The following is a 15,369-nucleotide window of genomic DNA, read 5'->3' as shown; positions in this document are numbered from 1 at the left end:
CTGTTTGCAGGTGGCTGCAGTTTTCCTGCCCAACCCACTGCCACTGGGCTATGTGGTTATGTTGTCCATCCTGCCACCGCTGGACTCTCTCCCCTGTATGTAATTCCCTAATAAAACCCTGTGTCTCATTTGCTGGCTCTTGGTCTCTTCTTTGGCCTCTTGAACCTGGTACCTTCCCTATTGAGATTAATAGGAGTTTGGCACAACACCTTATCCCCAAGAATATTGTGATAGTGAGAATCAGCAAATTCTACCTACCTTAACTGATCCCTACCTCAGACAGAACCATTCTTTACTGAATCCAACAGCAGTCTCAGCACAAGGCATCTGGAACACTGGATAATTCTCTTACCAAATGCTGTTTCCAGTATATAATGAAGACCACGACCCACCAGTGGGTATTTACACTATGGAAGAGCTATTTGCCTTCACGGATATGAGCAGACTAGGAAAAGAAAAATGATTTCCCCTTTTAACTTATTTAACAAGAATGTTAACTGACAAAGCAGAATAGCAAAATTGTCTCTGCTGCATAATCCCACATTTGCAATAAACATGACCTGGAAGAAATTTACCAAAATATGAACAGGGCTCATAGTTATCTTTGGATAGAGAGATTATGGTGATTTTTATGTTTTCCTTTATACTTTTCTATTTTCTGAATGTTCTGCCTAGTACAGATATTACTTTTAATAAGAAAAAAACACACTATTCTTTAAAAATTGTGTGTGTGTGTGTGTGTGTGTGTGTGTGCAGGAGGTGGGTTAAAAAAATTTAAGGTGCTCAAGCTTGGGGAATGACTATCAGAGGCATTTGTAAATCTGCTGGCACTTAGACAAGGAGGAGCAGGTTTGCCCGACAGTTTGAAAACTCAGCAGGTCCATTAGTGCTTTCATAAGCAGGTGGAGATTTTGCAAGCCTGGTGTGGAGCTTGCCAGCGTCAGCAAAGTTGGTATCAGCCAGGTGACCAATAAAGATGAGGTTCCAGTTTAACTTTTGTCTGTCCACTTGGTGCCTGACACATACGAACGCATCTGAACACTCTTGATGTCAGACTGCTGTTGACTGATAATGTTAAATGCATGGAGAAGACACGAGGAGAAACTATTCAGAAAGATTCATGGTACAAACCCCTAGGTTCTAACACTTGACCGAAGCTGCTCTCAATGTCTATAAATCTATTTGGTTTGGAAGTCAGGTGCAAATGGCATATGGATGAATCTCTTAGAGAAAATTTAGCTGAACTTATGTGCTTGGCTTACCCGAGAAGCCCAGTGAGTATCATAGACCAGTAGGAGCTCCCAGGTACAACCTCAAATCCAGTAGCAATGTCCTCTTACCTTCAGCAACAAGGCTCTCTTTCCTCAGAAACTTCCAACTCTTCATAACCATCTATAAGACGACTTCTTTCAAACTTTCATGGTCCAGTGCAGTGGCTCATGCCTGTAATCCCAGCATTTTGGGAGGCCGAGGTGGGAGGATTGCTTGCATCCAGGAGTTCAAGACTAGCCTGGGCGGCATTAGCCAAACCCTGTCTCTACAAAAAATAAAAAAATTAGCTGGGTGTGATGGTGAATGCCTGTAGTCCCAGCTACTCAGGAGGCTGAGATGGGAGGATTGCTTGAGCCTGGGAGGTCAAGTATGCAGTGAGCTATGATTGCACCACTACACTCAGCCTGGGCAACAGAGTGAGACCCTGTCTCAAAAAAACAAAACCAAACCCTGATGCTCAATCTCTTTTTGCTATGAACTTCTTCTACCTCTTTCTTGAATTTTCCACTTATCTTCTGTTGCGTGACACAGATATTCTTCCTTCATTACTTTCCTGAAGCAAAACTTCCCCTTAATATCCTCAACCCCAATACCCATCAACACCCTCCTAGTGTCCTTGAACACCCATCCCATCTCACCACCAGCAGAAAGCCTTACAATCAGGAAGTTTTATTTTCTGCTTAACTTAAATGTCATCTATTATAAATTGAATTGTAAATAACTTGAGGGAAGCCATCTATTTATCCATCTTTGTATCCCTCCAAAAGCACATAGGCTACTAAACATTTGTAGAACAAATGAGTTTCCTCTGAAAGAACAACAGTAGCATTTTATAATGACATCATACATTTGTTTATATAGAGCCATTTTCAAAGCATATGAGCCTTGCAGCTGCAAATGGGATCTGCAGAACTGCAAAACTGACCTCTTCTGGGAGTTATTTAGGAAAAAGTTATCTTTGCCTCCTGCTCCCTTCTGCTCCCCGCTTCCCTTATACACACCGACTGAACTGGAATCTGAGTTTTAATAAAATCCCAGGCAATTCCTTTGGCATTCAAGGTTGAGAACCAGTGGTCTAGACTAGAGCCTTGGCTCTCAACCTTGGCTGTGCATTGCAATCATATAAAAAACTCTGGAGCCTGAGCTGCAGCCCTCTTCTGCCCATCCGATTTAATCAATCCTCCCTGAGCAATAGGATTCTTCTTTTGAGACGGGGTCTTGCTCCGTTGTCCAGGCTGGCATGCAGTGGCGCTGCAGCCTCAGTCTCCCCAGGCTCAGGCCATCTTCCCACCTCATCCTCCCAAGTAGCTGGGACTACAGATACACACCACCAAGCCCAGCTAGTTTTTGTACTTTTTGGTCGCCCAGGCTGGTCTTGAACTCCTGGACTCAAGCGATCCGCCCACCTCAGTCTCCCAAACTACTGAGATTGCAGGTGTGAGCCACCACACCCTGGCCAAAAATAGGATTTTTAAAGGCGCCCCAGTGAGCTGCCAGGGAAGAGAAACACTGTGAGTGCCTTCATGGGAACTCTCCAAAACTCCTACAATATTTTGTGAGCCCAGTGTGTCACCTCTATAGTGATTTCCCTTTTTTTCCCATGCAACTTTCCCTTAAGATTGTATTACTTCTCATCTTCCATAAAAATATCACTCAGTTTTATTTCTCAGTAGGCATTTATTGAGCACCTAAGATTTGCACAAACACAAAACCCATTCTTAAACTTCCTTTCACAGTAAATTATCTAAATTATCTTTCTTGGGCTCTTTCTCCACCAATGCTGTTTTCTAATTGTATAAGCATTCTTTGGTACCGGTATAATTTTGGCTTGTCATTTCCAGAGTAGAGGAAAAGAAAATTAATTCTATTTTGTCTAGTTTTAAAACAAACTACAGATTATTTTAGGCCACAGAGATACAAAAGTTGATTATATTTAAAAGCAAACAGACCCAGTCCTTTAACCTTGATCAATATACCATGTTTCACTTTCTCATCCAAACTGTAACAGCTAAGACTTCTAGAGGGCTTGCAATGCCTTGACAGGTGCTAAGTGTTTTACCTGTATTATCTCACTTGATCTACCCGACAATGCTATGAGGTACATTCTATTGTTATCTCTATTTTTTGGATGAAAAAACAGCAGCACAAAGAAGTTCAGTAACTGGCCTAAGGCCACACAGCTTGTCTTCCTGAAGACTGGACCCAAACCCAGGCAGTCATAGAACATGCTGGTCGCTATTGGGCCGCTTGTTCTATGGGGGACGGTGCTCCAGGAACACAGCAATGCGGTTTAGGATTCCAGGACCTGGGGCAGCTGCTGCTTCTTTCTTAGTTCTCGACAGACCACTGAGTGCAGTTTTTCTAAATCTTTTCCCCACTTTGATATGTGGTCCATAAAACTGCTTCCACACGTATAACCCACTGTGAAGTTTAAAATGATTTCATGTTTGGGCAAATTCCTACTGAATGTTAAGCTAGATAGGAAACAAGTTCTGACTAACACAGATGAAGGTCTGAATGAAGAAGTCTTACTTTTATAAAGGAATTTTCCCCTCCTCACCAAATCCAGTTTTAAATGTTGATATCTCTGTTGCAAAAAGATGATAAATAAATGTGTCCTTTGCTCAGTAGTGGGTGTATGGGTGTGGATATAAGGGTAAGAAAGTTAAGAAATGTCCAGTAGTATACAAAGGGCATTCTTGGGCTGGGTGTAATCCCAGCCCTTTGAGGGGCTGAGGTGGAAGGATTCCTTGGGCTCAGGAGTTCAAGGCCAGCCCTGGGAGTTCAAGGCCAGCCCTGGGCAAAATAGCAAGACCCTATCTCTAAAAAAAAAAAAAAAAGAAAGAAAGAAAAAAAGAAAGAAAGAAAAGAAAAATTAAAAAGGTAAAGGGCATTTTTTAAAATTATTGCTATTTTTTTTTTTTTTTGAGACGGAGCCTTGCTCTGTTCCCCAGGCTGGAGTGCAGTAGTGCGATCTTGGCTCACTGCAACCTCTGCCTCCCAAGTTCACGTGATTCTCCTGCCTCAGCCTCCCAAGTAGCTGAGATTACAGGCATGTGCCACCACACCCGACTGATTTTTGTATTTTTAGTAGAGACAGGTTTTCACCATGTTGGCCAGGCTGGTCTCGAACCCCTGACCTCAGGTGATCCACGCACCTTGGTCTCCCAAAGTGCTGGGATTACAGGTGTGAACCACCGTGCCCGGCAGGGCAGTCTTTTTCTTTAGATTCTTTTTCTTTGGGCCTCGTCTGTAACCATCCATAGTAATAGCTATTTTCTTCCATCCTTCCCTCACTGAGGAGGAAATGATTTCCTTTCATTCCTTCTGGTTGTTCTAGAGCAGGACTTCTCTACCTGAGTGCTATTGACATTTTGGATGGGATAATTCTTTGTTATGGAGGGCTGTCCTGTAGATTGTAGGATTTTCTGCAGGATCCCTGGCCTCTACCCAGTAGACACAGCAGCACCTCATTTCAGTGTGACAACCAAAAATGTCTTGCCTCATGTCCCCTGGGGAGTAGAGAGGGAGGGGCAAAATCACCCCGGTTTGAGAACCACTGTTCTGGAAATATTCACTGGCATTGCAACCCCACACATTCACATTTTGCCATATTGCATCCTTAACTATTGTTTCAAAGATTTCAAGGCCACGTATTAGGTGTTCCCAGTATTGTTTCTCTGTTTTTCTCCCTGTCCTTGCCTTTTGTGCCCTCATTGGATGAACTCCCCAGGAAATATCCTGAAGGTGACATGCTGAATGCTGCAGCCGGGAGCACGGAAATGGCTTTGGAGGATCCATGTATCCCAGGGTGGGACCCTGGGGGATGCAGGCATACTCTACCATCACCACTGCCTTATCTGCAGAGCTGGCTTGCTCCTGCGGGCCTTCCTCTTAAGTTTATGTGGACACCATAGCACCGCTGACATTATTCTGGTAGTTCCTTGTAGAAAACAAATGTCTCATCTTTGATGGTGTTGATAAACATAAAACACCTGTGCTCCAAGTGCAGTTTGTCTGAGGACAAAGGCAGGACTCTGATATACAGAATAAGCGACGAAGACAGGTTAAGAATGCTGACTAGAGATAGTAGCTTGTTTTTGCTCCACTTATATGTAGGTCTCAATGATGCATGTATTGATGGATGTGAATATGTGGCAGAAAATTGTTTCCATTTTTTGGATCCAGTTTAAAAAGATAAATTAGATAAGACTGCCCATGGAGAGCTTCTAGTTGACTTTCAACCATGATGTCCGATGATTCAATAATAGTAATGGCTAACACTTTTTTTTTTTTAAGAGATGAGATCTTGCTATATTTGCCAGGCTGGTTTTGAACTCCTGGGCTCAAGTGATCCTCCCTCCTCAGCCTCCCAAAGTACTGGGATTATAGGTGTAAGCCACCGCACCCAGCCACTAACACTTATTGAGCACATACTGTGTGCCAAAACTGTACCAAGGGCTTTACTTGACTGTCTCATTTTAACCTTACAGCAGGTTTAAGAAGTACATGTCATTATCATCTCCATTTTACAGATAACCAAACAGACTCATATTGATCAAGTTACTTTTCTGAGCTTATATTTCTTTTTTTTCTTTTTCTTTTTTCTTTGTTTCTTTCTTTCTCTTTCTCTTTCTTTTTCCTTTTTTTTTTTTTTTTTTTGTGAGACAGAGTCTCGCTCTATTGCTCAGGCTGGAGTGCAATGGCACGATCTTGGCTCACCGCAACCTCTGCTTCCCAGGTTCAAACAATTCTTGTGTCTCAGCCTCCCGAGTAGCTGGGATCACAGGCATGTACCACCACACCCAACTAATTTTTGTATTTTTAGTAGAGAGGGGTTTTCACCATGTTGGCCAAGGCTGGTCTTGAACTCCTGGCCTCAAGCAATCCACCTGCCTTGGCCTTCCAAAGTGCTGCGGTTATAGATGTGAGCCACCACTTCTATAATCACATCTATCTATAACCACACGAGCCCGGCCTGAGCTCGTATTTCTTATAAAGACACAAAATAGAGATTGAAGGCCCAGCGCAGTGGCTGGTGCCTGTAATTCCAGCGCTTTCAGAGACTGAGGCAGGAGAATTGCTCGAGGCCTGGAGTTTGAGACCAGCCTGGGCAACATAATGAAACTCTGTCTCTATTAAAAAATTTTTTAAAATTAGCTGGGTGCGGTGGCATGTGCCTGTACTCCTAGCTACTTGGGAGGCTGAGGTGGGAGGATCCCTTGAGCCAGGAGGTTGAGGCTACAGTGAGCCATGATCGTGCCAGTGCACAACAGCCTGGGTGACAGAGTGAGACCTTGTCTCAAAAAAAAAAAAAAAAAAAAGAGAGTTTTTTTTTTTCCAGGGAGTTTGTCTCCAACGTTTTTGGTTATTGTCGTTCTTATGTATATGTGTAGAATATTTTCCAAATTGTGGTAAAAGACACATTCACAGAAATCTTAACCGTTTTTAAGTGTACAGTTCACTGACATTAAGCACATTCACACATTGTGCAGCCGTCACCACCGTCCATCTCCAGAACATTTTCATCTTTCCAAACTGAAGCTCTGTACCTGTTAAACAATAACTCCCATTCCCCTCCCCCACTCTAGCCTTTGGTAACCCACATTCTACTTTCTCTCTCTATGAATCTGACTCCTCTAGGTATCTCAAATAAATGGAATCATCCAGTATTTGTTTTTCTGTGTCTGGCTTATTTTTACTAAGCGTAATGTCCTCGAGGTTCATCCTTGTTGTTGCATGTGCCAGAATTTCCTTCCTATTTAAGGCTGAATAATATTCCATTGTATGGACAGGCCACATTGTGTTTGTCCATTCATCCATCATCATGGGTTACTCAGTTGCTTCTGCCTTTTGGCTATCACAAATAATATTTCCATGAACACTGGTGTACAAATATACCTTCAAGATCCTGTTTTCTTTTCTTTTCTTTTTTGTTTTTCGAGACAGAGTCTTGCTCTGTCGCCCAGGCTGGAGTGCAGTGGCGCGATCTCAGCTCACTGCAACCTCCCATGCCTGGGTTCAAGTGATTGTCCTCCCTCAGCCTCCCGAGTAGCTGGGATTACAGGCACGTGCCACCACGGCTGGCTAATTTATTTTTGAGACAGAGTTTCACTCTTGTTGCCCAGGCTGGAGTGCAATGGCACGATCTGGGCTCACCGCAACCTCAGCCTCCCGGGTTCAAGCAATTCTTCTGCCTCAGCCTCCCTAGTAGCTGGGATTTCAGGCATGTGCCACCATATCCAGCTAATTTTGTATTTTTAGTAGAGACGGGATTTCACCATGTTGGCCAGGCTAGTCTCAAACTCCTGACCTCAAATGATTCACTCACCTCGGCCTCCCAAAGTGCTGGGATTACAGGCATGAGCCACTTCGCCTGGCCGCCTAGCTAATTTTTGTATTTTTTAGTAGAGACAGGGTTTCACCGTGTTGGCCAGGCTGGTCTTGAACTCATGACCTCAAGTGATCCGCCTGCCTCGGCCTCCCAAAGTGCTGGAATTATAAGCGTGAGCCACTGTGCCTAGCCAAGACTCTGTTTTCAGTTCTCCTGGATGTAACCCCAGTGGTGAGATTGCTGGATCATATGGTAATCGTCTGTGTAGTTTTTTTGAGGGACTCCCATACTGTTTTCCACACCGGCTACACCATTTCACATTCCACCAACAATGCACAAGGGTTCTAATTTCTCCACACCCTCACCCACCATTATTATTTTGTTTGTTTCTGTTTTCTTTTTTTTTTTTAAGTACAATTTCCATTTAATTTTTTTCCAGAGAATAGTTCGTCTTCAGTCTTTAAGGACTCAGCTCTTTACATGGACTTTGCTGGCAGTTGTGGGGCAGCACCCGCAGGTCTAAACGGGGTGGGGGTGTTCGGTCCTTGCGGGCTTCATGAGATCGATTCCTGACTACTTTGCTGTGAATTGCACAACTCACACAGTAACGTAGCTTTACATACAGCTCGGGAAGCACATAGACATCGAAGACGCTCGCTTCAGAAATGTCCCTGACTGCTGCGGTCTCCACTATGTTTCGAGAGACGAATTTCTTAATGGGTTTGTCCTTGGGCACACATAGGGCACAGTTTGTGCAGCGAATAGGCTATACGTGGCCGCGGCTCTTTTTGGCACAATTATTGTTCCTTCTTTTCTTCATCATCTTGAAGACACGGACCAGAGAGAGGAGTTGTTTCTGTTTTCAATAGTTGCCAACCTTATGGCTGTAAAGTGTGTCCCTAAGACTTTGAAATTAGTTATATGCCAAGTCTTTCCCTTCTAGACCTTTTCTTCTTAATTCAATAGCAACACACACACTCAATGGAAAGATCTTGATCATAATATGGCAGCTCATGAGGATTCATGCTCATTACACTCTTCACTGTCCTTGCTGGTCAGTTCTTTGGTAAGCTGGTAAGGTGGTTGGTTGGGAAGGCAGGAATGGATAATATAAAACTACCTTCTCTCTCTAGTCCCGAGCCCTGGGGATGTGAAAGCACACTTCTTCCTCTTTTCTCCCTCTTCTATACTTTTAGGGGGTCTCTCTAAGCATTTAGGAAACATGTTGAAAAGAAACACGTCACATTACAGAAAAGATCAGCCTATTCTGATTCCATTAATTTTAATGGGAATGATCTTTCAGGAAACCTGTTCTGACTTGATCAAGGGCGCTTGGTCTAGGCAGATTCTCCACCTGGCATTCAGAACTTGACAAAAGGTGTGGCTGCTGAAGCAGAGAGGAATGACTCACACCTGCCCACGACTCAGCAGGGGCCCTACCCAAGGCGGGTCCCTTTCTCCTCCTTCTCCCTGTTTTTCCTCTGTCTGCTTCAAGCTCTCAGGCCTTCTCTGCTTCCAGGCACCCTGGGAAACAGTGGCTGAAATAACACAGGAATGAATCATCCCCACCTGACCAAAAGAAGGGAAGGCAGGAGCAGCTCTTGATTGAGTGAGTTTCAAGGCCCGAGTTCCCCAACTCACAGCCACGACAGCGTCAGAGCAGCTTCTGCTTCCACGGCATCTGGCTCCGAATCTGGACCAAAGCCAGCTTTCATTAGGATGCCAGTGCACGGAGGCAGCAAGCGAATGCTGTTAATTAGGTTTGGGGTGTATCCTGGCAATTTAAAGAATCACCCAGTGTTGCAATCATAGAACTGTGGCATTTTAGGGCTGAAACGGATTTCACATATACAATGTCATAGAACTTCAGAATTTAAATAACTGGCTCACCAGAGCCAATGGCTTCATTTTCAGGATATTTTCAAGCCGGTTTACTTCAAATTGGTAGTTTGAAATGGGCCTTTAGTGGGATTATTTACACCACAGAAACTGACAAACACTACAAATCAGGCTTATCTCCCCTCCCACTTCACTAAGAGCTGATTGTTAAAAAATGTACTAGCCCATCATTGACCTTGTCCAAATCCTTCATTTATAGATGAGAAAACCTCAGCCTAGAGACAGGAAATGACTTACCCAGGGTCATGCTATTAATTAGCAGCAGAATTTAGAATCCAAATCTTTTGCGTTCTTTTTTTTTTTTTTTGATACAGAGTCTCACTCTGTTACCCAGGCTGGAGTGCAGTGGTGCAATCTCAGCTCACTGCAACCACTGCCTCCTGGGTTCAAGCGACTCTCCTGCCTCAACTTCCCATGTAGCTGGGATTACAGGCACCCGCCACCACACCCAGCTAATTTTTGTATTTTTAGTAAAGACAAGGTTTCACCATGTTGGCCAGGCTGGTCTTGAACTCCTGACCTCAAGTGATCCACCTGCCTCAGCCTCCCAAAGTCCTAGACATGAACCACTGCGCCTGGCCTTTTGCATTCTATTTCAATGAGTGGATGCTGAAAGCATAGTCTGGTCACACCAGCCTAGAATCCTGTCAAAAAACAGAAGCAGGAGGATGTTATTGCACTATTAATAGGGAGTGAGGGACAAATAATTCCTCTGAAAATAGGTTCTCAGGGGAAAGAGACTGACTGCTATTAAACCCCTCCTGAAATTCCCTCTCATAGTTTAAGCTGAATATGGGGCAATGTTCTTACTATACTTAGGTGGAATGCAACAGGGAGATGCAGACACAATCGTGTATTTGTAATATCCTCAACAATTAGAGGCTTCTTTGCCCTTGAGGGGAAAAGTGGCATGCCCTGTAGGCTGGGGTCAACAGCGTGACCACAAGTAAGAAGAAACAAACTAGACTGGAAATACGTCATTTAGAATGGGTTATTGGACTCGCTCTATTGTCTTTGTGATAAATGTGAATTCAACACGAAAGCAAATTAACTTTGATGCTCGCATTTTCCCCCACAGTGTGATTTTTCTGTACTTGCACAGCTGAGCTCAAAGTTCTGGTTAGGACTTTTACAGGAGGATAAAAGTCAGGAAAGCATGGACACTTATAAATTAGAGCAGCATGCATGGTGGCTCACGCCTGGAATCCCAGCACTTTGGGAGGCCAAGGCAGGAGAATCACTTAAGGCCAGGAGTTTGAGGGCCAGCCTGGGCACCATAGTAAGACCCCATCTCTACAAAAAACTTGAAGGCTAGCCAGGTATGGTGGCTCAAGCCTGTAGTCTCAGCTACTGGGGAGGCTGAGGCAGAAGGATCACTGGAGCCCCGATTGAGCCATAGCACTCCAGCCTGGACAACAGAGCGAGACTGTCACCAAAAGAAAAAAAAAAATTAAAATGTAAGACAGGCAAGGCAAGGAAAGGATGGATGGAAGAGATGGAAACTCTAGTTAGAGGGTGCATTCCACCTTCTTAGGGTGGCTCTGGGGAGCCAGTATGAACCAGTTCCAGGACAATACCAGATAGGATCAATACCACATGTTATTTAAATTCTGAAGTTCTATGACATTGTATATGTGAAATCCGTTTCAGCCCTAAAATGCCACAATTCTATGGTTGCAACACTGGGTGATTCTTTAAATTGCCAGGATACACCCCAAACCTAAGTCAGAGGGTGCAGCCACAAGAGCTGACTCTCGGAAAGGTAAAGGGACAGCCCCACCCCACAGAGGGCAGCGAGCCTGCGGGGAATGATGGGGCCTCTGCTTCCATGTGGTTGAATCACCTGGACTAGTGAGACCTGAACAGGAGCTGGAGTGGCCAGGTTGCATGGGATGCAGGAGAAGGGAGGAATGGGCCAGATCTCTCCAGTGGGGCTATCCACGCCACAGCCTCCACACTCACGCTATAACCGTCTGCAGTTTGTCTGGTCCAACCTGCCCTACGATGAGTGAGCTCTGCCGAAAGCCACCAGCGTCCTTCTCGTCCTTTCCTAGAGGCTCATCTCAGTCCCAGCCTCCTCCACCGCGGCAGTGTTTGCTACACCTGGCTCCAAGGGAGAGCACTGCCTCCTTTCCCGCATGCCCCAGCTGCACCGCATGACTCGGTCCGTTACACACTGCAGTGCTGGTAGCTCTTTAGCCTATCACTGGGCTCTTGGCCCTGCTTGTAGTCACTGTCTCCTGGGAAGAGTGACAGGATTCCTGGTGTCCCTGACCAGGACAAGGGGTCATTCATGCTGGGCAAAGGAAGAGGGAGGCCAGGCCTGGACAGGCTGCCGTCTTGCCCAGATGCAAATGCCAGTTGTCAGAGCAGGGGCCCCTATGTGATGGGAGCAGAAAGAGGCCAGCGAGTGGAAGCCACCCCCTGAAGCAGGGAGCCCAGCCAAGAACTCCAAGGGGCCATACCAACTTCGGGCTGGGGTGTGAGGAACTCTGCTCCCTTTTGGAGGGAAACCCACGAGCCCCATAGAGTACCATGGCTGTGCTGGCAATGAGAACTGTATAGCCTGCAGATCTGATGTTTACTGTATTCTTTTGCTCTCTGTTGGCAATACTTAGAAAAGTCTTTGAAAGTTCCAGCATCTAACAGTAAGAGGGGAAAAAGAGGGAAAGGGTTGTATCTACTCTTGGCCAAAATACTAAAGCAGCAGCAGCTTGCTAAATAGTTAAGGTCCTGGTTTTTGTTTTTTTGTTGTTTGTTTTGTTTTGTTCTTGGGATGGAGTTTCACTCTTTTTGCCCAGGCTGGAGTGCAGTGGCATGATCTCGGCTCACCGCAACCTCCGCCTCCGGGGTTCAAGTGATTCTCCTGACTCAGCCTCCTGAGTAGCTGGGATTACAGGCATGCGCCACCACGCCTGGCTAATTTTCTATTTTTAGTAGAAACGGGGTTTCTCCATGTTGGTCAGGTTGGTCTTGAACTCCTGACTTCAGGTGATCCGCCCGCCTCGGCCTCTCAAAGTGCTAGGATTACAGGTGTGAGCAACTGTGCCCAGCTGTTTTGTTTTGTCTTTTTGAGTCGGAGTCTCACTCCGTCACCCAGGTTGGAGTGCAGCGGCACGATCTCAGCTCACTGCAAACTCCGCCTCCCAGGTTCAAGCAATTCTCCTGCCTCAGCCTCCCGAGTAGCTGGAATTACAGGCACATGCCACCACGCCCAGCTAATTTTTGTATTTTTAATAGAGACGGGGTTTCACCATGTTGGCCAGGCTGGTCTTGAACTCCTGACCTCAGGCAATCCACCCACCTAGGCCTTCCAAAGTGCTGGGATTACAGGCGTGAGCCACCACGCCCTGCCGGGTCCTGGGTTTTAAGGTGATTTTTGATTTATGCCACCTCCTCTTTGAAATCCCTCTCCAGACTTCTGAACCTTGGCACTGCCCTCATTCTCCTCCTACATCGCCTCAGTCACCTTTGATGCCTCCTTCTTCTCCTGCCCCAAAAACGGGCTGTTTGGCAAGGTTACGTCCTCTGCTGCCTTCCTGTCTCTTCACTCTGTCCTCCACAGTATCATCTGTTGTTCAAGACTTCAGCTGTAACCTTGGGAGGATGATCCCAAATCTAGCACTGACTTTCTCCAGACACATTGTCAACCTTCTGGGCTGCACTGCCTGGATAGGCAATGGTTGTCTTACCACAGTATTCCCCAAAATGAATTTATTTCTTTCACCCCAAGCTCAAAAATTTCAGGATGGCCTTGGACTACCTCCCTACCCGCTTAGCCCTACCTCTAGTTATCAAAGCCTGTTGACTCTATGTCCCTGGTCCCTTTACACCCTCCTCTTTCCAATACCAGCATCCCCACCCAATCCAAGGGCACCTTACCTCTTCCCTGCATCATTGCAAAACCCTGCAAACTGGTCTCCCCACTTCCAGTATCTCCCCATTCTAAGCCAACCTAGATCCGTCCTGACAGCCTTCCGTCAGCAAGCCCAGCCCAGGATTTCTATGCCGCAAGCTCAAACACCTTTCCGGCCACAGATGGAGCGCCTTGACCAAAATATACGGTCAGTACTCCCTACACACAATCTCATGTTTCCCTACCTGTTTCTTCTCAGTAGAACACTCTCCATTGCAACCTCACCTGCTGAAAGCCCTTTGAACCGAATCCAAGGCCCTTTGTTTCTTTTCTTTTTTTTTTGTAGAAGGACTCTGGCCTTGTTGCCTAGGCTGGAGTGTAGTGGTGCAATCTCGGCTCACTGCAAACTCTGCCTCCTGGGTTCAAGCGATTCTCCTGCCTGAGACCCCTGCTGCCACCATCCCTACCACCCCCCACCCCCCGAATAGCTGGCATTACAGGTGCCCACCACCATGCCCAGCTAATTTTTGTATTTTAGTAGAGACAGGGTTTCACCATGTTGGCCAGGCTGGTCTCGAACTCCTGACCTCAGGTGATCCACCTGCCTCAGCCTCCCAAAGTGCTGGGATGAGAGGCATGAGCCACTGCACCTGGCTGCAAGGCCCATTTTAAAAGACACAGCACCCTCGGGGCCTTTCCTGGTACCCGCTCACGGCACCATGCTCCTGGTCTGGGGCACGTGTCCTCTTCTGCCATGTTCCACAGCAATGCCTGGGCTTGTTTTCTTTCACCTGCGCCTTCTTCCTTTCCCCCCACCTCTGGGAATGCCATGATCTCTCAGTTGTCCATGACACAAACTTAGAAATTGTTCTAGGTTCCTTCCTCTCCCTCCCCCTGCGCTCCAGTGCTCCCAAGTCTGCTCCTTAAATCGCCCCACTTTTTACCCCCTTCTGTTCAGCCTTCCTTTCCCTCCCTTGGCTCAGGCCACACTCATCCAGGGAGCTGGGGCAGGACTTCCCATGTGTCCCTGAGGTAGGCAGCCCCTTCCTGCTCACCCACTACCTGTGTGTCCTCAGCCTTTCCTCAATTGCCTCACCCGCAAAAGGGGATTTAAAAAACCACACACACTTGGGGAGCTGAGGAGGGAGGATCACTTGAAGCCAGAAGTTCGAGATCAACCTCGGCAACATAGACAGACCTTGTCTTTAGAAAAAATAAAATAAATTAGCCAGGCATGGTGGTGTACGCCACCTACTTGGGAGTCCTACCTACTTGGGAGGCTGAGGTAGGAGGGAGAATTCCTTGAGTCAGAGTTCAAAGCAGCAGTGAAATGTGATCATGCTACTGATCTCCAGCCTGGGTGACAGAGCAAGACCTTGTATTTACAAAATAAAAATAAACAACACTCTCAAAATTCATACACACACACACACACACACACACAAACACACACACACACACAGAGTATCCCTTATCTGAAATGCCTGGGACTAGATATGTTTTGAACTTTGGATTTTTTCAGATTCTGGAACATTTGTATATACAGGCATACCTCATTTTATTGCAATTTGCTTTTTTATGCTTCGCAGATATTGAATGTTTTACAGATTGAAGGTTTGTGGCCAACCCTGTGTCAAGCAAGTCTATCAGCGCCATTTTTCCAACAGCATATGCTCACTTCATTCCTCTGTCACATTTTGGTAATTTTTGCAATATTTCAAAGTTTTTCATTATTATTATATCTGCTCTGGTGATCTGTGACCGGTGACCTTTGATGTCACTATTGTGATTGTTTTGGGGCACCACAAGCCACGCCCATATAAGACAGTGAACTTCATTGATAAATGTTTTGCGGGTTCTGTGCTCCACCACCCGGCCTTTCCCACATCTTTCTCCCTCTCCTCAGGCCTCCCTATTCCCTGAGACACAACAATATTGAAATTAGGCCAGTTAATAACCTGACAATGGCCTCTTAAGTGTTCAAGTGAAAGGAAGTGTGCAAGTCTCT

General features: G+C 45.8%; 1 pseudogene, besides 1 other annotated feature; it reads right to left on the bottom strand.

The window, feature by feature from the left end:
- Positions 8,014–8,456, bottom strand: RPS26P29 (ribosomal protein S26 pseudogene 29; annotated as a pseudogene).
- Positions 8,403–9,602: an enhancer, noted in NCBI's record as "MED14-independent group 3 enhancer chr6:7505263-7506462 (GRCh37/hg19 assembly coordinates)". NCBI's record gives its function as "activates an origin of replication core promoter dependent on BRD2, BRD4, P300/CBP and CDK7 cofactors, and independent of MED14, by STARR-seq in HCT116 cells {active_cell/tissue: HCT116}" and the evidence as "EXISTENCE:reporter gene assay evidence [ECO:0000049][PMID:35650434]".

Source organism: Homo sapiens, chromosome 6, assembly GCF_000001405.40.
Source record: "Homo sapiens chromosome 6, GRCh38.p14 Primary Assembly".
NCBI lineage: Eukaryota > Metazoa > Chordata > Mammalia > Primates > Hominidae > Homo > Homo sapiens.
This window is presented reverse-complemented; position numbering and strand designations above follow the sequence as displayed.